The sequence below is a fragment of the Homo sapiens genome, chromosome 6 (genome assembly GCF_000001405.40).
Source record: "Homo sapiens chromosome 6, GRCh38.p14 Primary Assembly".
Taxonomy (NCBI): domain Eukaryota; kingdom Metazoa; phylum Chordata; class Mammalia; order Primates; family Hominidae; genus Homo; species Homo sapiens.
The window spans coordinates 154,216,584-154,243,306 of record NC_000006.12 but is presented as its reverse complement, the minus strand read 5'-3'; the positions used below and the strand labels follow the sequence as shown (position 1 = coordinate 154,243,306).

At 40.3% G+C, this 26,723-nt stretch overlaps 2 protein-coding genes and 1 pseudogene across 8 annotated transcripts in view, besides 1 other annotated feature; 1 reads left to right on the top strand and 2 right to left on the bottom strand.

The window, feature by feature from the left end:
* The window catches only part of OPRM1 (opioid receptor mu 1), a 236,372-nt gene that overhangs the window by 3,561 nt on the left and 206,088 nt on the right, over positions 1-26,723 (bottom strand). The window lies entirely within an intron of this gene.
* The window catches only part of IPCEF1 (interaction protein for cytohesin exchange factors 1), a 202,308-nt gene that overhangs the window by 113,497 nt on the left and 62,088 nt on the right, over positions 1-26,723 (top strand). For all 7 annotated transcript variants that reach the window (NM_015553.3, NM_001130700.2, NM_001394799.1 and 4 more), the window contains 2 exons: positions 20,064-20,137; positions 21,979-22,050. In NM_015553.3, the coding sequence (NP_056368.1) occupies positions 20,064-20,137; positions 21,979-22,050 (146 nt within the window). The remainder of the gene's footprint in view (positions 1-20,063; positions 20,138-21,978; positions 22,051-26,723) is intronic.
* Positions 3,645-3,845: a silencer, noted in NCBI's record as "peak6225 fragment used in MPRA reporter construct". NCBI's record gives its function as "represses an SCP1 promoter by STARR-seq MPRAs in K562 erythroleukemia cells {active_cell/tissue: K562}" and the evidence as "EXISTENCE:reporter gene assay evidence [ECO:0000049][PMID:32103011]".
* On the bottom strand, positions 25,783-26,396 carry RPL17P24 (ribosomal protein L17 pseudogene 24; annotated as a pseudogene).

Below are 26,723 nucleotides of genomic sequence, written 5' to 3'. Positions count from 1 at the left end.
GTAGAAATCCAAGCTGGTAAAATCTTGGATTTAAAATCCACAGTTTTGTTTTCCCTTGCCCTTACAAGAAGGTACACGTTCACTTCCTGGTTTGTGGGAATCACCTTAACTGGTAACCTTTCTTATTTCCTCACACTTGTCAGCCCTACCCAGTTAAAGATGGCACTTCTTTCAATTCCTGTTAGCACGTGGGCTGGCTCTCTCTAAGCCTTCGCATATGCTGTTTCTCTGCTCAGAAAACTCTGTCTCCATGCCCTGAAGTCTTTCTCCTATCCAATTCCATCAAACTTATCCCTCCTTATAGGTCAAATTTTAGCTTAAATAGCCTTCTTCTAGAGGCACGTACCTTCTCCTTTGACCTAAATTTGGCTTCCTCTCTCTGCTGCCTGAGTGGCCTATACTTTTCTTTTCTTTTCTTTGAGACGGAGTCTTGCTCTATGGCCCAGGCTGGAGTACAATGGTGTTATCTCGGCTCACTGCAACCTCTGCCTCCCAGGATCAAGCGATTCTCATGCCTCAGCCTCCTTGAGTAGCTGGGATTACAGGTGTGCGCCACCATGCCCCGCTAATTTTTGTATTTTTAGTAGAGACAAGGTTTCACCACCTTGGCCAGGCTAGTCTCGAACTCCTGACCTCAAGTGATCCACCTGCCTTGGCCTCCCAAAGTGCTGGGATTACAGATGTGAGCCACCGCACTTGGCCTATACTTTTCTTACTATCATGCTTGTCCTCTTTTTTGAGTACTTGCTTGTCAGACTTGCTGTTTTCCATAATTGATCATTTCTGTAGGAGAAGATCATGGGTATATCTTCAGCAACTTACTCTGTGTCTGACAGTTAATAGGCTCTCAATTAATAGTTCTTAATTTCATATATAAATAAGAATTAAGAATCTTCGGCATTTACGTTGCCCATGGGAATTTCAAGAAATGGAGTCATGTGTAAGGACTGATTTTGACAGAAAATAGTTTTCCAGGAAAGGATTTCCACCTCTATTCTTAAAAACAGATATGGGAAAAGGAGCAATCTGAATTTGCTAGAAAGGCCCCAAGGTTCCGATTAGGTCCTGCACAGCTGCTCTCATTTTGCTAACACATTATTAGGATCTTTGAGAAGTAGAGGTGGGAGATGCGCATTCTGGGGACTAATGGGAACAAAGGAATGAAAATATAAACGAGCTGTGCCAACCCACTGTGTTAGCGATTATATTGAATTCTCATAATAGCCGAGCAAGATAGATTTTATTATTCCCATTTTTCAAGGGAGTTTACTGAAGCTCAGGGAATTTAAGTAACTTGCTCAAAGTCTCATAAGGAGTAAATAGCAGAACTGGGATTTAAAACAAAGGTTTCCCAACGACAAAGCCAGGCTCTTTTCCCCAGGCTGCATAGCTTCTCCATTTAGAGGTGACTTAGGGCCAGTGAATGGGGGACTGAGACATGTAGTGATAGTGTAGGAATGTGGGTTTGATCCAGCAGGCAGTAGGGAGCCACTGCCTATTCTTGAGCCGGAAGGTGAGCTCGTGAAATTGGCATGCGAAAAATATGAACCTAGCAGCAATAGATTGGATGTTTTGGAGAGTGAGGGAGCTGCCAGAAGGCCAGTTAGGAGATGGTGAGAAAATGCAGGCGTTCAGACATGAGCTCCTGGACTAGAGTGCCAACAGTGAGAATGTAGGGCGCACTACGCAAATAAAAAGGGGTGAGGTATGAAGAACGCTTGGATATAAGACACAAAAAATTTGAGGCTAAAATAAGCATGATTCCAAGTTTTAGAGCCTGGGGAGACTGGGAAAATAATATGAAAATTGAGGGACAAAGAGTTTGTGAGTAAGAAGGGTGGAATTTCATTTAGATTCACCGTCGCTTACTTTTTTGGTGTATTTTAGTTTTGTACATTGTTTCTTTGTATAAAATTATTAGATACTTGTGTTTTTTAGTTTTCATTTATTGACACCATGTGTGCCATTGCATCACCAGTTCAAGGAAGCTTGAGGCCCCTGAGCCTTGACTAGAAAAAATGAATCATCCAACTATCTGTTTCTCTCTCTCTCTTTTTTTTTTTTTTTTTTTTGAGATGGAGTCTCACTTTGTTGCTAGGCTGAAGTGCAGTGGCGCGATCTCGGCTCACTGCAACCTCCGCCTCCCGGGTTCAAGCGATTCTCCTGCCTCAGCCTCCTGAGTAGCTGGGATTACAGGCGTGCACCACCACGCCCAGCTAAGTTTTGTATTTTTAGTAGAGACGGGGTTTCACCATGTTGGCCAGGATGGTCTCGATCTCTTGACCTCATGATTTGCCCGCCTCAGTCTCCCAAAGTGCTGGGATTACAGGCATGAGCCACCGCACCTGGCCCCAACTATCTATTTCATAAAAACTTTAGACAAACTGAAGAGGTTTGTAGGTTAATATCTGGTTTTGTATATATTACAGAGACTTTAATGTTCTTTGAGGCCCCAATATGTCTGTACAATTGTGATTGTGTTTCTCCTTTGCTTTCTGAATTGTGAAAGTTTTGCATGTTTGGGGATTGAAGTAACTGTCTGCATGAGATGTGTTCCATCTCTAGCTGCATGCACACTTCATGTGAATTTCAGAGGCTCTTATCTTTGGAAGGCATATTTCTTGAAATCAGTTTTATGAGAATCTCTATAGTGAAGATCTAATCACTTTTTACATTGGGCAGAATTACCCATGTAGAAAATGTTACTTGAAAGTCAAAATTTTCTCTTTTCATGAGACAGCTATTCTGCAAGTTTCAGTAAATATAGAGTACCTTTTTTTTTTTCAGCTCAAGAAAAATAAAGAACAGATTAATTTTCCCTGGGAAAGTGACATTAAGTCTTCTGAACCTTTCATCAGTAGGCATAGATTAGCATACATTTTGGAAAATGTCTGAGTGAGTTTACAATAGATTCAAAAAAATTTTATAGGAATTTATGAATACATTAGTCATAGCTTATTATATTCTTTCTCCCCCAGCTACAACATAAGCAGCAGAGGACGTATTCTTTACTTGTCTGATTTAAACTGTGTTTCTGTATCCTAGAAGTTGGCAGGTACAGAGCATGTACCAGTATTTTTTGAAGGAATTGCTTAATTATTACATTACTTAATTATCAATTAGTTGTATGAATTAACTAATTAAATTGAGCATTATTATTGAACACTGATGTGTTCCCAGACTTCTACCAAAATGAGAATTATGGGCTTTTAATTTATTTGAACTCTATATTTATTGTCTTAGCCAAGAACCAGCCTCTGAGCGTATCCCAAACAAAATTCCAATGTTTTGAAATGTTTCTTCAAGGTTGGGTGCTGTGGCTCACGCCTGTAGTCCCAGCACTTTGGGTGGCTGAGGTGGGCAGATCACTGAAGGTCAGGAGTTCAAGATCAGCCTGGCCAACATGGTGAAACCCCCCTCTACTAAAAATATAAAAATTAGCCAAGCGTGGTGGATATGCCTGTAGTCCCACCTACTTGGGAGACTGAGGCAAGAGAATTGCTTGAACATGGGAGGCGGAGGTTGCAGTTAGCCGAGATCACATCACTGCACTCCAGCCTGGGTGACAGAGCGAGACTGCGTCTCAAAAAAAAAAGTTTCTTCAGTGAAGACAATTCAAACTAACCATGTGAAATTGATGAACTTTTGGCCAACATATGGGTTCCTAGAATTTGCATTAGAAAGGAGAATGAGAAGGTGGAATGTTGACATGTCTGGACAGGGCAAAACGTGACATTTCAGCAGCTGTAGGTGACCGGTTTACCGCAAGACAATGACTCATGGATCAAAGGGGTAAAAATGCTTGCTTAGTTAACATTTGGAAACCTAAATGTTAGAATGATTGAGGACTTTCTTGAATTCTGTTACTTCTGACATTCTAATTTCACATGTGTGGAAATGAATTTTTAAATGGACATTTAGTTTATTTATTGTCTATAATGTATTATTGTGTTCTAACAATTATTTTCCTTTGCAGATCCTTGAATGTATTTCTAAAATAATGGTTCCCCTGTCATAGCTTTATGGCCACATTATCTGTAGTTGGGATGGGCAGTTCTCAATAACTTCTTGTTGTAATGTGGGAACAATTGCTCATGTTGCCAATATTATTTTCCTTTAAATTCTTTCCAAACTTTTCAAAATTAACTGTGGAACACCGAGAGCCAGGAAATGTTGGTTTCTTTTGTCTTGTTCTCAGAAGGCAGTGATATGCTTGGGCATTGCCAGAGTGAATGCCATGGCTGAGGTATTTTAGAGGACAGTCTTCTTAGCTCACAGCAGTGAAATGCCCACTCAGGGGATACAGCTTCCTTCTTTTCTCTGGTGGACAGTGCATAGTACTTTTGTCGGTGTTTCCACAACTTCTTTTTTTTTTTAAAAAAAACAACAATATAGAATCCAACTTTTTACTTTTTGGAAATTTAAAGTAACTGAAAAATGCTTTAAAAGATTATACAATAGGGCCAGGCATGGTGGCTCACGCCTGTAATCCCAGCACTTTGGGAAGCTGAGATGGGAGGATCACTTGAGGCCAGGAGTTTGAGACCAGTTTGGTCAACATGGTGAGACCCCATCTCTTAAAAAACAGCTAAAAATAAAAATAAAAATTATAAAAAAGGTTATACAGTAGTATGTGCTCATAGGAAAAATTTGAAAATAGAAGTAAGCGAAATAAAAAAAGAAGACAGACATGGAAGCAAACACACAGAGAGAAATAAATGAATTAAGATCATACAGGCTTGGCCGGGTGTAGTGGCTCATGCCTATGATCCCAGCACTTTGGAAGGCCAAGACAGGCAGATCACCTGAGGTCGGGAGTTTGAGACCAGCCTGACCAACATGGAGAAACCCTGTCTGTATTAAAATATATATATATATACAAAATTAGCCCAGTATGGTGGTGCATGCCTGTAATTCCAGCTACTTGGGAGAGTGAGGCAGGAGAATCGCTTGAACCTGGGAGGCAGAGGTTGCAGTGAGCCGAGACAGCGCCATTGCACTCTAGCCTGGGCAACAAGAGTGAAACTCCATCTAAAAAATAAATAAATAAATAAAGGTTCCTACCACCATGGCACGAGTTTAGACATTTTGTTGTATGTGTTTCCAAGCATTTGTTTCTATGTTTTACAAAAATAAAATAATATCATACATGATGCTGTTGTCACTTGATTGTCTCACTAAGTAATACATAGAAACATATTTCCATGTTGATACATGTATATCCACAACATCATTTCTGATGGCTGTAAGAATTATATATGCATATATGATAGTTGATTTGCCAATGCATAGAATCTAAAATCAAAAATGGCTTTTATCCTAAAATCGTTTAAAATCGTTAACAGGAAATAGAGTACATAAGTGCACACACACTAACTTAAAAATAAATTGATATATATTGAATTGATATTTATAGTGCATAAATGTATAAGTATTGACACATATATAGATATGTATGTGTATAAATATTAACATATATATAGATATGCATGTGTATAAACATACATATGTATATGTGTGTGTATATAATTTCATCATTCTTGAAGCAAGCCAGCAGTAAGGTGGATTTCGGCAGCATGGTATAAGGGACAAATGGCACCTGGATTCTAATCCTGTACTTTATTATGAGGTCTTGTAGCTCTAAGTCAGTGATGCAAATGTCTATGCGTCTATTTTCTTGCAAGTAAATGTTGACCAAGAACACTATCTCTATATTATTCAAAGCTACTTTGAGAAGATTGAGTGCAGCTAAAAGCAATATTTAAAAAATCAAAGGAATGTATACAAACAAAAGCAATGTGTTTGCCTAAATATTGAGATTTTAGGATGCAGGAGAATTGTGCTAGGAATTTTCAGATACCAGGAATGGTTTTTCTCAGTGACTATGATCTGTCCTGTGTAAGAAAGTCCAAAAATACACCTACCGACCCCGTGTAAAGGATGATTTTAAGCTACAAGATGGGAATGGACTAGAAGACATTGGGTACTTGTCAATACAGCGTTTTCCACCCTGGAGGAAGAGTTCAGTTAACACATGAGTTAATGGTGAGGGTGTGGGCACATTTCCCAAGCAACAGAATGCCAAGTGGCCCATGGGATGAGCTGAACTTTTCATTAGGTTTGAGGATTTTCCTGAGAAGTCTTTATTTGAAGATTTATCATCTGTCTGGAGCAAGCTCTTTTAAGGGTCAGGTTCCAGCTGCTTCTTCTACAGACAAGCTAATTGATAGACTCATCTGTCACTGTGCTGCTGTGTTTAATCTTCCATAGAGCATGTTTCAAGAAGATTTCAAAAGGAAACCATAGAGAGGAAAGTTTAAACAAATATTGAATATTTCTGTAAGGAGTCAGAATTTAGGGAAACATGTTTGAAACGATGTCTTTAAAAAAGATGCAAGGAAAAGGCACGCTGCAGGGGAAGATAACCCTGGGCTCACAATGTAGAATCTCTACATTCCCTTGAAAGAGAACGCACCCAATTTTAATTCTACCCTGATTCTACCCTGATGCTGAGGCTCCTTGACAATCTAGGCAAACCACCCACCATCTCTGGGCCTCGCCTCTATGTCTGTTCAACAGAAGCATGAATAGATGTCTGTTACCTGTGAAAGAGATGGTGCTCATTAACAGCAGGTCAGCCACTGATATTTTCACACCTTGAATCTTGTAAAACTTACCTTGGAAAATGCATTTTCATTCTTCACTGACAAATAACGATTTCAGAGTAGTAGCTTTAAAATTAAATGTTTTTTAATGAAGTTTACCATCTTAGCCATTTTTAAGGGTACAGTTGAGTGGCATTGCTTAATTTCTTATTACTGTGCAACCGTCAGCATCATCCATCTCCAGAACTCTTTTCGTCTTGCAAAACTGAGACTCTGTACCTATTAAATAATAAGTCTCCATTCCTTCTCCTCCCAGTCCCTGGCAACCACCATTCTCCTCTCTGTCTCTACGAATTTGACTACTGTAGTTCCCTCCTATAAGTGGAATCATACAATATTTATCCTTTTGTGACTGGCCTATTTTACTTAGCATAATGTCTTCAAGGTTCATCCATGTGGTAGCAGGTCTCAGAATTGTCTTCCTTTTTAAGCTGAATCTTATCCCCTTGATGTGTGTACCACATTTTGTTTATTGACTCATATTTGTTGACAGACACTTGGGTCGCTTCTACCTTTTGGCTATTGTGAATAATGCCAATATTCACAATAGAGATGAGACTCTGCTTTCAATTCCCTTGGTTTTATACCTAGAGGTGGAATTGCTGGATCATATGGTAGTTCTATCTTAATTGTTTTTGAGGCGCTACCATGCTATTTTGCATAGCAGCTACACTGTTTTACATTCCCAACCATAGAACTGGAACACAAGGGTTCCATTTTCTCTACATCCTCAACAGTGCTTGTCACTTAATTAATTAATTATTTACAGTCGCCATCCTAATGGCTGTGAGGTACCATCACACGGTGGCTTTGATTTGCCTTTTCCTAATGACTAGTGACCTTGAGCAACTTTCGCATGTGCTTATTGGCCATTTCCATATCTTCTTGGGAGAAATGTCTTTTGCCATTTTTGAACCAGATTTTCTTAGTGGTGGTGGTGGTGTATTTTAATAGTACAGACGAAACTCATGAAAACAGCTTGAAGAGATTTGAAAGTTCCTGAAGTATTTGATAACTTCACATTGCAGGAAGGCAAGATTATGTGTTGTACTGACTGTGATTTTAAAAGACTTAACTTTGTCTTCATTACTTTTTTTTTTTTTTTTTTTTGTGACAGAGTTTTGCTCTTGTCGCCCAGGCTGGAGTGCAATGGTGCGATCTCGGCTGACTGTGACCTCTGCCTCCCGGGTTCAAGTGATTCTCCTGCTCAGCCTCTCGAGTAGCTGGGACTACAGGCACCCGCCACCACACCCAGCTAATTTTTTGTATTTTTAGTAGAGACGGGTTTTCGCCATGTGGGCCAGGCTGGTCTCAAACTCCTGACCTCAGGTGATCTGCCCGCCTTGGCCTCCCAAAGTGCTGGGATTACAGGCGTGAGCCACCATGCCCGGCCTATTACTTCTAAATCTCTAATATTCAAAGAGAATGCACCTGATTTTAAATTTTCTTAAATGGTGCTCCTTTATCTATTCTTCTCCCAACTCGTGTAATAACCATGGATGGTAGATTAATTAGATAGCAAGAGATGAAATTTAGTCTGTAATGGTGAGATTTTATCAAATTTCTTCTGATTCATTTAAAAGCTTTCCTTCATATGTATTGTTTTCTTTCTTTTTTTGACTATGCTGGTGCAGAGACCAGCCCATATATGTGAAAACAGTAGCACATTTGGGGTTTTAAAGCTTCCGAAAGAATAGGGCAGAGATGAGACTGAGCAGAAGCTAAGGATTTTACACGGCAGAGGACAATCACACAAAATTCTTTTAAATTTGAGGTTTCCATCTTAATCATTTTTTAAAATTACATTTCAGAAGGTAATTACTATCTTTGTATGTCAGACTACCTGAAAGTTCACTAGTAACTTAATTTCACTTAAAATATGATTTTGCTCCAAGTGATCTCCTTACTTCAGAGCCCTTTCCCTCTTTCTCCATAAGGAGAGAATGAAAGATTGTGAGTGGCTAGCTAGAAGAGGTGACTTACAAAGCATAGAACAGGATGCCAGCCACTTCTTGGTCACCACCTAAATATGACGTAATGTGATAGTGAGAGAGCCATATCCTTGGTTGACTTTTAGGAGGGAATAGTAAGGAGGGATTGTTGTGCTGAGCAGTTGGGCTGTTCATGGCAGGGAATGTTTTCTGCAAGGGGAATAGCATCCTGGTTTAGGTTTCCCAGAAGCAGATTCTTGAGAAGAGGATTTGGGTGCTAGCAGTTTACTTGAGAAGTGATCCAGGAGATACTCGGAAAGGCAATAGGGAAGTGAGAGAGGGTAGAAAAGTTAATAAAGTTCTCCTTAGCAAGCAGGGTGTGACTGTGGGTAACCAAAGCTTCATCCTTCTGGGGAACCCTGGGAGCCTGTGAAAAACATGTACCGCAGAGTTTTCACGCTAAGGGAAAAAGGAACTGGGATATTGATTTGTTTATTTATGTATTTTTCTTTTTTTAGAGATGGGGTCTCACTGTCCTCCAGTGGTGTGATCATAGCTCACCACAACCTCAAACTCCTGGGCTCAAGCAATCTTCCTGCCTCAGCTTCCTGCATAATTGAGGCCACAGGTGCACATAGTTGTGCTTTGCTAATTTTTGTATGTTTTTAAGACAGATGTCTCACTGTGTTGCCCAGGCTGGTCTTGAACTCCTAGCCTCAAGAGATCCTTCTGCTTTGGCCTCTCAAAGTGCCGAGATTACAGGTGTGAGCCACGGCGTCCGGCCTAGCTGGGGGCATTTCTACCCCAAGACCCATTCGTTGCTGGTTGAGAGCTCGTCCCAGGAGCAGTGATCTCCGAGGACCTCTGCACAGGTGAAAGAGTGGAATAGGGCAGCCAGAGAAGCTTTCCCACAGTGAGATGCAGGTGCTGGTGGCAGGAAGTCTTGCCAGTGTGCCCTGGGTGGTAAGGACAGGGCATATGTCAGGGTCACTGAGAGTAACTGATCTCCTTACTGCAGAACCCTCCCCTCTTCCCCCTGTTGGAGCCTCAGTATCCTCAGAACCATCCTCATTAGCGTAATCAATTCTTTCCATCTGTTTTTATAATCAATGCCAAGAATCTCTGGGTTCTGTAGGAAATTGGGCCTTTTTTCTAGCCAAAAACATTTACCAAATGTTGTCTATGTAGAATATCTATTTCTAGGTGTTTGTAAGAAAAAAGTCTCTCTGGATCTAAATCTAGTTATATTCATAGGGTAATGTTAGCTAAACCCAAACGCAACAATATTTTAGTAAAAATACCCCAAATAATACATGAAGAATATGGTAAGTTTACTAGTATTATTATTCTCCAAATAAACTAAAATGTTTTTATAACCATTAATCTGATGCAAAGAAAAGAGAGGAGAGCCGAGACACAGAAACAGCTAGTCGGATGGCTCAGCTTACAATGCACTCAGTCAAAAAGCTTATTTTGCACTTTGGGAGGCTGAGGCGGGCAGATCACTTGAGGCCAGTAGTTTGAGACCAGTCTGGCCAATATGGCGAAACCATGTCTCTATTAAAAATACAAAAATTAGCTGGGCGTGGCGGCACATGCCTGTAACCCCAGCTACTTGGGGGTCTGAGGCAGAAGAATCACTTGAACCCGGGAGGCGGAGGTTGCAGTGAGATGAGATTGCACCACTGTGCTCCAGCCTGGGTGACAAGAATAAGACTCCATCTCAAAAAAAAAAAAAAAAGAAAAGAAAAAAGGCTTATTTTACATTAATTTCTGGGTCATTCCTTCTCTTTTGTTTTCTTTTCACCCCTTTTCCTGCTTTCCTAGGAACTAATAATAATAAATTCTTGGATTTCTTTATAGCTTTAACAAATTTTACATTATTACACACATCTATGTTAATTTCCATTTAGTCTGGAGAAGCTGGTTATAGCTGCTTATTCACTGTGAGTACAGTGACTCAGAGAGGTTAAGTACTCTGCCTCGGATGTCAGAGTATGTGGCTTACATCGAGACATTAATTCCAAATCCAGGGTTGTTTTTTTCTGTGCCATGTGTTGACTGCAGATTCTCTCCTCCTCCCATTTCAGTTCCTGAGCCTATTTTAGCTCTGAAGAATTTCTTCAGTCTTGTCTTTAGAATTATTTGACTGGTTGCTGGGTCTTGGTCTGAGTCCTGTCACTTTAATAATACCACATGATGGTTCCCATGGTATAATACCAGGCTAGCTTGGTGTTCTAGGTCTGGCACTTGGCATGGGATTAATTTTCCTCTTAAGGCTGTGATCATAGTACTACCTCACTGGCATATGCTTAGCGCTCAATAAATGCTAGGTCTTATTAGATGTTACTCAAGATTATTATATTTCTTAAAAGGATTCCAAGCACACTCCCTACCAGGCCTGCTTCTGATATCTAGAAGAAAATAAAACACAGACATTTTTTCTTTCTTTTGGTGCAGTGCTTGTCACAGCCCGATGCTAATACGTGCAGCTCTCTGTGATAGTTGCAGGATGTAGATTGTGTTGGTGTGCTAATCTTCGTATTTCCTTTTCTGAAAGGAAGGGGCAGATGAGTTGCAGTGCCATGGACGCTATTGTATGGAGAGAAGGAGGGGAGCTTTAGATTCTGTGCAATTTTAGAGGGGAAGAAAGGAAAAAAACCTACCAAGACTATGTAAAAATGATAATAACATGTCACTACGAAGAGTCCTTACTTAGCCTATTTGCCATGAAATACGTATAGTCAAAGTTCTTAAGTCTTTCAGAGCAATGATTATTTGTGTGGGGCTATGTCACCATGTTTACATTCAATTAGGTTTGTTTCTATTTGTTTTTAATTTCGAGAATTGCTTTTCTTTTTCGTGTTTGTTTTTGATTTAAAAAATCAATCATGTACCCGATTCCAAAGTCAAACCTGTAACAAGTTACAACCAAGTCAGTCTCCTTCGCATCTCTGTTCTCTATCCTCTTTCTTCCCCCTTTTCTATTTGTTTTTGGTTTATTTTCCCATGTTTCTTTTCGCAAATACAGCAAGTGTGTATATTGAGTCAAATCTCTTCCTCCTTTCTTACACAAAATTAGCACATTAAATATATAGTACTGCACCTTACTTTTTCTCTCACTATGTCCTAGAGATTGCTCTACGCGTTGTATGGCGTTTTTCATAGTTATTCACTGTGTGTGGATACCACAGTGTATTCAACTGTCACCTGATGACAGACATTTGCATTCTTTGCAATCCTTTGTAAATACAAACAATGCTGCAATGTACATGTCATTCCACATATTCTCCAAGGTATAGTTAGGACAGATCCCAGAAGTGGAATTTCTGGGTCAATGGGCAAGTGCATTTTTGCTGATTATTATCCAGTTTCCTTCTGTTGAGTTCCATTTTGCATTACCACCAGCAGTGTTTGAGAATGACTGTTTCTCCATAGAACTAGAACTTTTACAGTGAATTTTATCCTAACTTTTCTTCAATCTCCTTTTACTTTTACTTTCTATTTTAAAGAATATAATTCAGATTTCTCTAGTGGTCATGAGTCTGTGTGTAGTGTGAGAATCTAGAGACAACTGTTCTAAGGCGGCATGAGAATGGGCAGCTCAGCTCAGAGTTTAGACCTCATCTGTTTCCAGTGCCCTGGGGGTTTTGGGGAGTAACTGAGAAAACAATAGATTTATATGGAGAAATGGAGACTTTTGCAGTTTCGGCTGATTCAGATAGTCATTGGGTAACCTCATTAAATTTGCTCAATGTAATTTCAAGAATTTCAATTCTATATTCACTTAAAAACACAAAAGTATATTACAAAGAAATTTTTTTAGCTGTTTTTTTTTCTTGAATTCAAGATTCTATTTAAGACCTGTAATTTATTTAATAACAGGTTTTAGGGGAGAAGATGTTGCAATGAAAATATACATAGATTCTAAGGTGTCTTCTGATTTCAGAATTATTGAAGTGTAAAGAAATCAGGGTTTTAGAATTAAGGAACTATGGTTTCATTGAAAATAGAGATATAATATTACTTTTCATTTTTTAACCAGGAACTACATGACAGTTTCCTATATTACCATTCATCTGTTTCTGGCTTGGTCCTCTTTGACCTATTTAGACTCGGGAATACACGTCACTCTCATTTCTCCTGGTCAGCCCTTCTGCTTTTCTGACATGTGTAGGTACCTAAGAAGTAATTTTGTATATTTTCCAAAATACTTGTGGTACGAAAAGGGCAAATGTTATCATGGCAATGAACACTTATTTTTGCATTTAAATTCTAAAATCTGATGTCCTGTTTTAGTTAATTTCTAAAAGACTTAATTTTTTTAGAGCAGTTTTAGGCTCACAGCAAAAGTAAGAGGAAGGTACAGATATTTCCCATATGATCCCCGCCCATACTCATGTACAACCTCCCCATTATCAATATCCCCATCTGCATGGGAGATTTGTTATAACTGATGAACCTCATGTTTTTAAAAACAGCTTTATTAAGGTACATTTTATGTATCATAAAGTTCACCCTATTCAAATTTGCAGTTCATTCATTTTTGGTAGATTTACCAAGTGATGCAACCATCATAATAAATCAGTTTTAAATAATTGGTATTGTACCAATAAGATCCCCCATCCCCATTTACAGTCAGTTCCCACCCCCAACCGCAGGCAACCACCGTCCTGCTTTCTGTCTCTATAGATTTGCCCTTTCTGGACACTTCCTAGAAATGGAATCACACAGTCATAACTGATCGCTTGTGTTTCACTTTCACTTAGCAGAATGTTTTCAGGGTTCATCCATGTTTCAGCAAGCGTCACTGGTTTGCTCCTTTTCATGATTAAATAGCATTTCGTCGTATGGCTGTGTCATATTCTATTTAGTAGCTGATGGACATTTAGGTTGTTTCCAGTTCTAGGTTACTATGAATAAAGCTGTTATAACGATTTGCATGCAAACCTTTGCATGGGCATTTGCATCCATTCCTCTTGGGTAGACACCTAGGAGTAGAATTGCTCAGTTGTATGGCAATTATATGCTTACTTTTTTTAGAAACTGACAAACTGCTGGGCACGGTGGCTCACGCCTGTAATCCCAGCACATTGGGAGGCCAAGGCAGGCAGATCATGAGGTCAGGAGATCGAGACCGTCCTGGCTAACACGGCGAACCCCATCTCTACTAAAAAAAAAAAAATACAAAAAATGAGCCGGGTGTGGTGGCGGGTGCCTGTAGTCCCAGCTACTCGGGAGGCTGAGGCGGGAGAATGGCGTGAACCCAGGAGGCGGAGCTTGCAGTAAGCCAAGATCGCGCCACTGCAGTCCAGCCTGGGCGACAGAGAGAGACTCCGTCTCAAAAAAAAAAAAAAAAAAAAACCGGCAAACTTTTCCACACTGCCTTCTGCATCTCATTTTAACACTTTATTGTCAGAGGAAAAAGATTATAGTTCATTCATTCATTCAAAAAATGTATTTATTTATTTCACATGTATTTATTCCACACCTTATAAATAATATGTATGAACAACACAGTTATTTCCTTCAAGGTACTCACAATCCATTGGAGAAGCAGACAAACAACCAGATAATTAAATACAGTAAGAGAGGTCCTGTAAGGGAGGGCCGCCCCTGGGGCTGGAGGCAGACATGGGGGCACCTAGTCCAGACTTAAGGGAATAGGGAAAAAGTTTTGGAAATGGTCACACCTAAGTTGAATCCTGGAAACTTATCTAGGGGAATGAGGTAGGAAGGGCATTATAGGGCCAGGGAGCAGGAGGCAACCTGCCTTGCTCACACCTTGGAACCCTTTACTCTGTTTTTTGTTTGTTTGTTTTGAGACTGGGTCTCACTCTGTAGCCCAGGCTGGAGTGCAAGTGGCACCATCTCAGCTCACTGCAGCCTTGAACGTCTGGCCTCAAGTCATCCTCCCGCCTTGGCCGCCCAAAGCACTTGAGATTACAGGCATGAGCCACCACATCTGGCCAAGAGCAGAGTGTTTAAAGGAGACAAATACTCTAGAGGTGATTCATGAGATCAAAGAGATGATCAGCAACCTTTACATTTCCCCCCAATGTTGTAACACCAGCCATTTTCATAAAAATATGTATTTAATGCTGCCTAATGACAGCAACTGTACGTGACACTCCACTGAGATGAACAAAATCAGAGATGCTGGGAAAACTAGATGGGCTGAATTGTGAGGAGAAAGGTTTGAGATCATAGAACATCATAAAACAAAGTGAAAAGGAACGTGTTTCTTCTGAATTTAAGACTAGATTTGGAAAGAGAAGTTTGTACAATGGCCAAACGATGGGTTTGATACCTCTGGCAGGAGAACAAGTTTTTTATTACATCAGGATTTCGAGGGAAGCTTGCAGGTACCAGCATAGAACCTGGAGGAAACTTTTTTTTTTTTTTTAAACAGAGACAAGGTCTGCCTATGTTGTCTGGGCTGGTCTTGAACTCCTGAGCTCAAGTGATCTTTCTGCCTCGGCCTCCCAAAGCGCTGGGATTACAGGCGTGAGCCACCCTGCTTGGCTGCCTGCAGGAAACTTTTTAGAAAGTTAGGAATTGAAGAAGAAGGATCCCATTCAACAAAGTTATTTTAGTTAATATAATAGGCAACAGGGGATCTGGAGAAGCGGAGGAGGAGGAAAAGGAGGAGGAAGAGAAGAACACTGTCATTCTCTCAAGATTTGCCCTCTGTGATTGTCATTTTTGAGGCATTTTTTTTTTGCAAGTCAAATAAGCAAGGACCATTTTTTGACACAAATTATCTGTGATTTTGAATATAGCTCAACTGTCTTCAGAATAAAAAAAAAGCTTCTGCTTATAAAGTGATAATTTCCTGGGGAAACACTAAGGTGTTTTCACCCAAACTTATTTAGGCTCCTGTTTAAGGGAATCTCAGCTGTTTCACTTATGCAGAAAAGGAATCCACCCAAATGAAGATTTACCATTTATTTTTTACATGGATTAAATTTAATTAATTAATTAATTTTTTTTTGAGACACATTTTAACTCTGTCACCCAGGCTGGAGTGCAGTGTTGTGATCACAACCCATGACAGCCTCGACCTCCGGGCTCAGGTGATTCTCCCACCTCAGCCTCTCAAGTAGCTGGGAATATAGGCGTGTGCTGCCATGCTCGGCTAATTTTTATACTTTTGCAGAGATGGGATTTCACCATGTTGCCCAGGCTGGTCTTGAACTCTTGGGCTCAAGTGATCCTCCCACCTTGGCCTCCAAAAGTGTTGGGATTACAGGCGTGAGCCAGTGAGCCTGGCCAATTTTATTTTTAGATGAATAAAAATATTACTAAAAGTGTATATAGGTATGTTACATTTTTGTTGATTGATTTGTGTATTATATCATTTGAGATCGATTTATTGTACTGAAAATGAGTTGTCTAGAAACTAATCATGCCATAAATTGGGTGCTGATTCTAATTCAGCTCCATGGAACTATTGTTTTTTATTTTTTTATTATTTTATTTTTTAATTTTTTTGTTTGTTTGTTTTGAGACAGAATCTTGCTCTGTTGCCCAGGCTGGAGTGCAGTGGTGCGGTCTTGGCTCACTGCAACCTCTGCCTCCCAGGTTCAAGCGATTCTCCTGCCTCAGCCTCAGCCTCCCAAGTAGCTGGGATTACAGGCGTCCGCCACCACACCTGGCTAATTTTTGTAATTTTTAGTAGAGATAGAGTTTCACCATGTTGGCCAGGCTAGTCTCAAACTCCTAACCTCAGGTGATCCGCCCACCTTGGCCTCCCAAAGTGCTGGGATTACAGGCGTGAGCCACTGCGCCTGGCCAGAAGTATTGTTTTTTCTTTGTTTTTGATTTTTCTGTTTGTCTTTGGCTGAATGGGGGAGGGGGAGAGATGAAATTGTGGAACTAATCAGGGCTTGATTATAAAGGGTCTTTCATCCTCTGCTGAGGCATTTAGACTTGACCCGAGGGCAGCTGGACACCATGCAGGGTATTTAATCAGAACAGTGCCATGAAGAATGTTCATGATGTAAACATTTGCTGTGACTGTGACTGTGATTTGGACACTAAATTTGATGAAACAGCAGAATTATAGAGAAGGAGAACAGTTGAGGAGACTTTTGCGGTAATTCAACAAAACATTAAAGGTAAGTTGAAGGAGGCAGTAGGTAATGGGTGGATTGAAGACCTGAGCAGATGCAGCAACTATACAACTTTGAGTTTACCTGCATGGGCACCGAGAAGGGAATGGAAGAGTTGGGGATGTCTCTCACATGTCCTGTTTTGGCAACTGGCTAGAAAGTGATATTATTCACTGAAGTCAAGAACACAGGAGAAAGAAGTGGGCATTTTATGGAGTAAGATAATGAGTTTGATTTTGAATTTGTTACTCTTGCGGGGCCCATGGGAATAGGCTTACTAGGCAGTTGGAAATCTGGGACAGGAGCTCCAGGATTGAATCCCAGTTTGAGATATGGATTTTGGATATATGTGGACAGTGGTGATACAAGGTATGGGTTTTGGATATGTGTGTACAGTGATGACAGATGGAGCCATGAGGGTGTGTATGATCATCCATAGAGAGTTTTGGAACAAAAAGAGAATAAGTCTGTGGACAGAACTCTAGTGAACTCTGACATTTAAGAAACAGACAGGAGAACAAGACCCCTGAAAGAGAAGAAGGCATAGTTAGAGGAAAAAGGGGAGCAGCAGTAATGTGTTGTCAAAAAGGCCACAACATCAGGGTGGCTCCAGAGGGAGGGAGCAGCTACAGCGTCACTTAGAGTTCAATTAAGGGAGGACTAAAAACAGTAGATGGGATTTAGCAACGCGGGTGGAGTTTTGGTCTCTACAGTTTCTCTGGAACATATAGAAATGAATGGGAGGAGGAAGTAGAAACAAATGCTGAGTCTAAGTGATGTTTCAATTATGGAAATTTACATAAAAACGCCTTAGCCTAACATAGATTCTTAAAATTTAGATGAAAGTCATACAACCTAACATTAATTACTTTAAAGTGAGCAGTTCAGTGGCATTTAATACATTCACAATGTTGTGCAACCCCCTCATCTATCTAGATTGTGAACATTTTCATCACCCCAAAAGGAAACCCCTTACCCATTGAGCAGTTGCTCCCTATTTCCTACTGCCTGGGACCCTGGTAGCTACCAATTAGCTGTGTTCTGTCTCTCTGGATTTCCACTTCTGGATATTTCATATAAATTGAATCATACGAGAGATGAGCTTTTGTGTCTGGTTTCTTTCACTTAACACAAGGTTTTCAAGATTCATCCACGTAGCATGTATTAGTACTTTATTCTTTTTTAAGGCTGAATAATATCCCATTGTATAGATACAGCACAATTAATTTATCCATTTATCTGTTAATGGGCATTTGGGCTGTTTCTACCTTTTGGCTGTTGTGAGTGCTTTGTGAACAGGGCTGCACATGTATTTGAGTACCCTTTTTCAATTCCTCTGAGCATCCATAATCCAAAAATCCAATCCAAAATGTTCCAAAATCTGAAAGTTTTTGAGCACCAACATGATGCTCAAAGGGAGTATTCATTGGGTGTTGGATTTTCAGATTTGGGATACTTGACTTGTTTGTATATGCAAATATCCCCAAATCAGAAAAATTCTGAAATATAAGGCACTTCCAGTCCCCAAGCATTTCAAATAAGGGATACTCAGTCTGTAGATCTAAAAGTGGAATTGATGAGACCTAACATAGTTTTTCAAAACTATACTTTTTTGTAAGGCGGATTGAGAATCCACAGGAAGCACTGTGCATTGTACAGAAAGTTGACTTAGTCTGTATTCTTTGAATACCTTATATTCTCTTCGAGAATCAGCATCCAGTAATTAAGAAGGCTGTCAAGAGAGAAGCTGCATATATATAATATACATATGAATGAGTACATATTCACTCTGTATAAACACACATATGCATATATAATGTTTAAAGAAGAGAGTGCCCATTAGAATTGAGTTTTGAATCTCTTTTTTTTGTTTGTTTGTTTTTTTTAAGACAGAGTCCCACTCTGTTGTCCAGACTGGAGTGCAGTGGCACGATCTTGGCTCACTGCAACCTCTACCTCCCAGGTTCAAGCTAACCTCCTGCCTCAGCTTCCCAAGTAGCTGAAATTACAGGGGCCCACCACCATGACCAGCTAATATTTTTTGAATTTTTAGTAGAGATGGGGTTTCACCGTGTTGGCTGGGCTGAACGTGAACACCTCACCGCAAGTGATCCACCCTCCTCAGCCTCCCAAAGTGCTGGGATTACAGGCATGAGCCACTGCACCCAGCCTTGAGTTTTGAATCTTATAAGAGGAAGGCATTTCAGGTGAATAATTTAGATAAGTTGAGTCACATAAGAGAGAGAAGATGGGCATAGGGTTGGATGCCTCACAGTTTAATTTTTCTGAAGAAAAGAATGCAAGTTGCACTCTAGTTGGCAATAAAGGAAAGAGCAGAATGATCAAGTAAACTGAAAGCACCCATGGCACTAACTTAATAGCTAGCTGACTTGTAAAATTAAGATTGTATTTTCAAAATCCATTTTTACTCATCTCCCAATAACCACAGACTCATTTATGTTTAATCTTGTAGATTCTATTTCTCTACTCAGAGACACCAGTGTAGATGAAAGAAGATTTGAGTTCTATGGGTGACGAACAATCTAGCTTTGTTGTGGCTCAGTTAAACTTTATTTGTAAAACACAGATTAACAAATTCTTAGAGAGGTGGGACAGTGATTATATTTCCTATACATGTTTTTGGTGATGTAAAGTGACATTTATGCTACGTCCTCATAAATATAATTTTCTTATGCAGTCTTTTCTTTGTAGAAAGAATTCCCAGAAATCAATGATGGGACTGAGGTTCTGAAAGATGCAGCTCTGTGATTTAATCCCCAAGGCCCTGCCTACAGACTTGGGAGAGGAAATAATGTTTGTTGAGTGACTCTTAGCAGTTTTATTTATCTGAGCTCATTTAAGTCACAACAACCAGTAAGTGGTCAATCCATGATAGGAATGTAGATTTGCTAACTCCAGGGCTCTGGGCACCATATATATCAAGAATGCTAGTTAGGTTTCTTCCTGTGTGCTAGCTGACTAGAGTCGTAGGAATAGAAGATGCTGTGGATGCTGATGGGCTCAGCAGACATGACTGTTGGGTTAGCTATGTTTTCCACAGAGACAGGAGGCCGGTGGAGACAGGCCCTAAGCCTGCCATATGGTGACCATCCCTAAGCTGTGTCATGTCATGCCACTTCTCTTGGAAAGATTCTGGGTGACTTATCAGGAGAACATTAATCTTTCTCATGAGCTGTGTATCTGGGACACCTCCATGGTGATTCAGGGTGGTTGGTATCTCTTGATTCTCCCTCATGTCATTTATACCATCCCTATTCCATGTATATGATCTCAATGCACTAATCCCCAGGATTGATGCATTCATTCCTATTTGTGGTATATATTTGTTTCAGGCAGAGAAAGCTGATGGATTTGTCAACCTGCCTGATTTCACTGTGGAAAGAGCATCTGAATGCAAGAAAAAGCAGTAAGTTGTCTCTCATCTTCCACAAAACTCTGAGCCAGGATACTATCTCTTCATAATGTTCACCAAGGGATATGGTGATTTAGAAGTGAGTGAAGGTAACATCGGAATGTCTGAGAATTTGAAGCATTATGGGTTGGCACCCTACATAGAAATAGAAGCATTTAACCTCTCATTTTCTGGAATTTCGTTTTGTGGAGCAGATGGATTTTAAAACCCCCACGAAGTCTTGGCATGGACTGTTGTTGATGACTGTGTCTGTGATGGAATAAACCCCCTCCAGGACTGGCAGGGAGGTCAGATGTCAAGCTTCGGTTCTACTAAAGAAAAAACAAGCAGTTAAATAGGACTCACCCGAGTTGCAGATACGCCAGCAAGACCAGCTTTTCTTTCTTAGTTCATGGAGTTGTCAGATGCACACTTGGAATTGAATTTTCTGAGATGTCTTAAGCTTGGAGATTACACTCTGATCTAATTGAAATCCAAAAGATTTGAGCACTGACAGGGACCAAAAAAAATTACCAGCTCATGGTCCTGGTTTTCCTGAGAAGGAAACAGCCCAAAGAGTTTGTGACCTGCTTAGATCTCATGAGCGGGCTGGCTGTAAACCCAGGTATCTATAGACTCTCATTCAAGTGCTCCTCCCATGATAGCAGTCTGCTATATTTTGCGTATGTGTCCATTTTCACCTTTTTCTTATTATTTCTTCTACCTTTGACATCTTTTCCAGTCTTATCAGAAAGGGGCCTTCCTTTTTGTCCTATGTGACTAGTTGCAGCAATTGAGTAGTTTTCTTTTAACAAGGTTAGTAAACTGGTGTTAGCTTTAAGTCTTTGCCTCTGTGGTGTGGTTGCACATGTCCAGTGCTGATTCTTGTGGTTTGAAAAGGATTGGCTATTTACAAAAACCCTGGCCTGTGCCGTGCTGCAGGACTTCCTGCCTAAAGGGTAAAGTGGAAGCCCTTCTCATTTGTTATCTTCAATGTTTTCTGCTTTTCTTTTATATTAAAATCTATTTCATATTTCCCTTTACTAACAAAGGGTGCCTTGAATAAGATTTCTGATGTGTTGCTGCAGAGTGGACGTTCCATACCTGATTATTCTCCTATAAAAATTCTTCTGTATATTTGATTGAAAGTGAAGAAATACCTTGCTTGAAGTAGTTGTTCTGAATATTTTGAAGTGTTATTTCTATCACTTTAAAATTGAATTTATTGTATCTTTATAGCAAAGCAGTTAGCAAGTGAAAGGAAGAGGATATACCTATATGTTTTATTTTTTATTTATTTATTTGTTTTTTGAGACGGAGTCTTCCTCTGTCACCCAGACTGGAGTGCAGTGGCATGATCTCGGCTCACTGCAAGCTCTGCCTCCCAGGTTCATGCCATTCTCCTGCCTCAGCCTCCCGGGTAGCTGGGACTAGAGGTGCCCGCCACCATGCCCGGCTAATTTTTTTGTATATTTAGTAGAGACGGGGTTTCACCATGTTAGCCAGGATGGTCTCGATCTCCTGACCTCGTGATCTGCCCGCCTCGGCCTCCCAAAGTGCTAGGATTACAGGCGTGAGCCACCGTGCCCGGCCATACCTATATGTTTTAAATGGAAACTACTGACCAGCTAAGACTCAGCCCTGTTCTGGACGTTCTGACATAAAAAATTGACTCTTAGTTCTCTATATGAAACAGAGACTAGACAATAGGTATCTAATATTACTAAATTATTTTTTGTAAATTTACAAAGAAAGCAGACAAGTTTACAAAGCTTGTATTTTACTGATTTACTTTCAGACCCATTGTTGACTATAAACACTAATTTTTTATGTGTTTGTGCTTTTCCTCCTTCAAGTGCTTTTAAGATCAGCCATCCACAGATCAAGACCTTTTATTTTGCAGCTGAGAATGTGCAGGAAATGAACGTGTAAGTAGAGGAAACTGGTAAACCCCATCCTTAATGGGAATATACTTAACTTTAGCCTGGTACTGGAATTCTAATCATATGTCCATATCAATTATTATTTTATTTCTGTTACTTTAAGGATTAATTTATTTAGCAGTTACAATGCCTTCGTGCTTTCTTCTCTAGTATTTGGAAACGGTTTGGAGAATTACATGTATCAAAGTGGCTATTTCGGGGAACCACTAAGTTGAAAAAGGAGTGGACAGAAGTCATTAAAAGAACATGTTAAAAGGAGAATCAGCATCACAAGGAGAGAGGCTTGAAAGTATTATGTAACTGATCTTGCAGCTTTCGGAATTCTACATGCAAAATATTGCTATAGCGTTTAATATATGCTGTGTGATTATCGTGATGATTCACGTATTTATCACCTCTCCATGTATTGTCCTGAACATATTGCAAAACGCCTTTGCTCGGAGTACATCAAACTTAAAATTGTAGATCCCTAGCTCCATTTCCAGGGTGGTCTGTGAAAATAAGTGGGCTGTGTGCAGAGTACAACCTGCCCTACACCATTCCTAATGGTTTAGAGTCAGGTGTGATCACAATAGCTGTTATTTATTTATTTATTTATTTTTGAGACAGTCTTGTTCTGTTGCCCAGGCTGGAGTGCAGTGGTGCGATCTCGGCTCACTGCAACCTCTGCATCCTGAGTTCGAATGATTCTCCTGCATCAGCCTCCCAAGTTACAGGCGTGCACCACCATGCCCAGCTAATTTTTTGTGTTTCTTGTGGGTTTCACCATGTTGGCCAGGCTGGTCTCGAACTCCTGACCTCAAGTGATCCACCCACCTCGGCCTCTCAAAGTGCTGGAACTAAGGCGTAAGCCACCGCACCTGGTCAACAATGGCTGTTTGAATCAGGCTGTATTTGAGGTGCTGATTGGAGATATCAGAGGGCATTCTCTTTGATTTAGCCCTATTCTCAGAATTCTTAGTGTCTCTTATTATTTCACATGACCAATTGAAAATATGTTAATGGAACGCCTACCACATGCCCCATTGCAGCAGATGGTGGGCAATGGCAATGAAAAACCCACACATAATTCCTCCATTCACAGAGCTTACGCTTAACCTGTTTTACTTATAATGATTTCCTTACCTATCTGCCCTATGTAGTTCTCATTGCTCTCTTGCTCTAGAAACATGAAGAAAAAAAGCAACTGCCTTTCACCAAACATGTGCATGGACACACACACACACACACACACACACACACACACACACACACACTCCTTACAGGTATCCGCTCAGCTCTGTCCAGCTAGAAGGACTCTCATCTGTCCCCTATCCTCACCTCCCCAGCATCACCCTCCAGATGAGGACAGAATGGCTTTGTACTGTAGAAAGTCGGGAAGCTCTGTGTTAGAAATAACAAGGCAAGGAACGGACAGTTGAGTCTTCCAAACAAAGCTTTGATTTACTTGGACAAAGAGAGAAGTTGTTTCTATCCTTTTTCTAGTTTTAGCTTTTTTTTATCCCCTTGGTTTTCTTAAGCATCTGAGAAAAATAAGAACAGATACACGAATGGAGAGGATGTTAAAATCTCCACATCAAAGATCTTTACTTATTTTTTTTTTATTTGCATCAGTTGCTAAATCCTGTTGGTTAGCAAAGCCCTTGCTGTGTAAGTGGGATGTGGAAGGCACAAGGTCTCGCCCGCTAGCACTTGGAGCCCTGTGATAGTGAGGTCAGTCCGCCGCTGAGCCTCAGTTCATCCCAAATGGTCTTTTCTGGTCTTGAATGGTGGTGAAACAGTGCTGCCCGCCTCTCCCCTGCCCAATACCTCCTGCTGTCCTGGCTTTTCTTTAAAAGTGCCTTGTAGCTCCAGCTTCCATCCTTGGCCCGTCCTTCCCACTCATTCTGTGGCTGATTCCTTGCAAGTAGTTTTCCTCTCTCCAGCAAGAGGTGAGTGAGACAGAGTAGCAGAGAAACAATTGCTTCTCAGTGCTTTGTTTGTTACCTAGTGAATTTCTCCTCCTACACAGTAAGGTGCATTTTTAAACCGATGAAAGTGTGAGACCCTTCCATGTTTATCTGAATCCGTTGTATTTCATGCACGTTTGCTCTGTAAATCCCAGATCCCCCTCCTCACCGCCCCAGTGTTTATTTACATTTCCAGTTTATTTATCTTCCAATTTTATGTTCTCCCTTTGCAGAAACCTATCTAATGGTAAGTAGAGTTGCATGGGTAGATATGATATAAATACTTCATCCTGTTGGCTGTGAAATCAAAGTCTTTCACAGTTATCAACGTCAAGATCTTACCGCCTATCTATGCTATGAAGATCTGTTCATTTTACTTGAAATTCTTTTGGGGGTTATCTTTCCAGCTTACAAAGAAGATGCAAATTGAAATTTGAACTTAAGGTGTCTGGACCCCATGTTTTTGAATCTGTCAGTGACCTTTAGACTTGAAAATTGTCCATCCGGCTAAATGGTCCATTTTGTCTGGGCCTGAAATTTATAATAACTTCTCATGTTTATAATATCATTATAGAGTTTCATTATTCTAAAAATGACTTTTCTAGTAGCCAACAATGCAACTTCTCCCTTCTCCCACAAGATTATGCAGATGATAGAGATTTACTTTGCAATAACACATGAAGAACTTCCCTTCTTACTGATGCAGCCGGTTTAAGCCAGGAAATAATGTATCTGGGTATTACTTGGTAAGATGAGAGGTGTGGGGGAGGGAGTGGGTAGCGTTTGCAGTGATGAGTCCTTGTTTTAGAAGTTCCTCTCCCTGGGCAACTGCATTTCTGGATAGTGACATTTCTCTCAGGGACGATGAAGGGAAATGTAATTAAGTTTAGTAGAAACTCCGCATGTTCTGTAGTGAGTCTCAATTTAAAAGTACAGGGGTAAGTAATTAAGGGTAATGAAAGAGTTCGTTTCTCAGCAAAGACGGGAGCTGCCTTTCTCAGACACTGTGGGAAGAATGCTCTTGTTTTGTACATCAATTTCTTAAAACTTGTTCTCCTCCAACACACACATTCACGTCAAGTTAATATACAACAAACTCCCAGGAAACATCTGTCATTTTCTTTTATGTAAATATAAGTCCTTTAGTGCATCCATCTACTTAGCCACAGATAGATGTTTTCCTGCTGCCATGATGTTTTAAAAAAAGTTCTTAGCAAAGAAGGTACTCTAAGCCAGTGGATCCTAGAAAGAAAACAGTCAAACAAGATTCTAAACATCACCAGTTTTTCACAGCAAGTAACTAATGGTTGTAATGAAAAGGTTACAAGTTTTGGGTAAGGGCTGAGAGAAATATTTTCTTTATTGTCAACAGTCTTCTATTTTGCTCTATTTCCATGTTTGGGAGAGGAGCTTAGAAATGCCTTTTCTTGTTTCAGACACTCAAGTGAAAACAATTTTTTTGTCTCTTTAAAAAAATATTTTCCCTATTTCACTTTTAGATGCTTTTTTGAGGGAGAATAAACTTATACAATTATGAACTAAGGTATAAGCTAAAAATTGTTATTGTGGTATTTTAAAAAGTGAACCATGAAATTGTTATGTTTTGCCTGGTCAATTTTAAAAAATGAACTTTTAAATGCTTATTTTAGTTAATAATACATAAAACGTATTCGTGTCAGACAAAGCAAAAGATTTCCTATATCCTCACCTCACTTTCTAATTCAACTACCCTCCCTAGGGCTAACCACTTTTTTTGTGTGTGTGTGCGCTTTCATTTGCATTTATTTTATGCTGAATCGATGCTCGTGCCATGAGCTTTTGTTTCTTCAGTTTCTTATGGGACACTTTTTTTTTTTTTTCTCCATGCAGCCACCTCTTGTGGTTTAGGAACAATTTCTTCCTTTCCAGCGAGGATCATCTCCATGTGGCAGAGGGAGCTCATATATATAAATTCATCTGACCATGAGCTCTGAAAGTACAGTGGCCCATCTTGGGTGTTTCATTCACCTGGATGTGCTTAGTGACCAGAGAATCTACATCTAAACCCTTGAATTCAGCATCACTCTCTGCACTTTTAAACATGTGCAGGAAAAATGCAGCATTCTTGTTGGGCCACCAGCCCTGTGTCCAGCCCCACTGTTTGGCCTGTGCATACCTACCAACTCCACCCTTGGAAGGCTGGAATGGTACACGTTGTTTCCGTAAAGTGACATCTTTCAGATAACTTGGTGGCTTTTCATATATGCATACCTTTGATAGCCTAGGGAATTTCACAGGTGTTCTTAAAGTGAACACAAAGATTTGAACCTCTTGGTTTGCATGGTTTTATGGGGTTTTTTGGGTCAGGTGAATAGCAAACCATTTTCACAGATCACCTGAGGCCACTTAGGGGAAGAAGAGGTTACCCTCCTCTTTTGTTTTTTTTGAGACAGAGTCTCACTCTGTCGCCCAGGCTGGAGTGCAGTAGTGCAATCTCAACTCACTGCAACCTCTGCCTCCTGGGTTCAAGCGATTCTCCTGCCTCAGCCTCCCAAGTAGCTGGGATTATAGGCGTGTGCCACCACGCCTGGCTAATTTTTGTATTTTTGGTAAAGACAGGGTTTCACCATGTTGGTCAGGCTGGTCTCCAACTCCTGACCTCATGATCCACCTGCCTTGGCCTCCCAAAGTGCTGGGATTACAGGTGTGAGCCACTGTGCCCGGCCATCA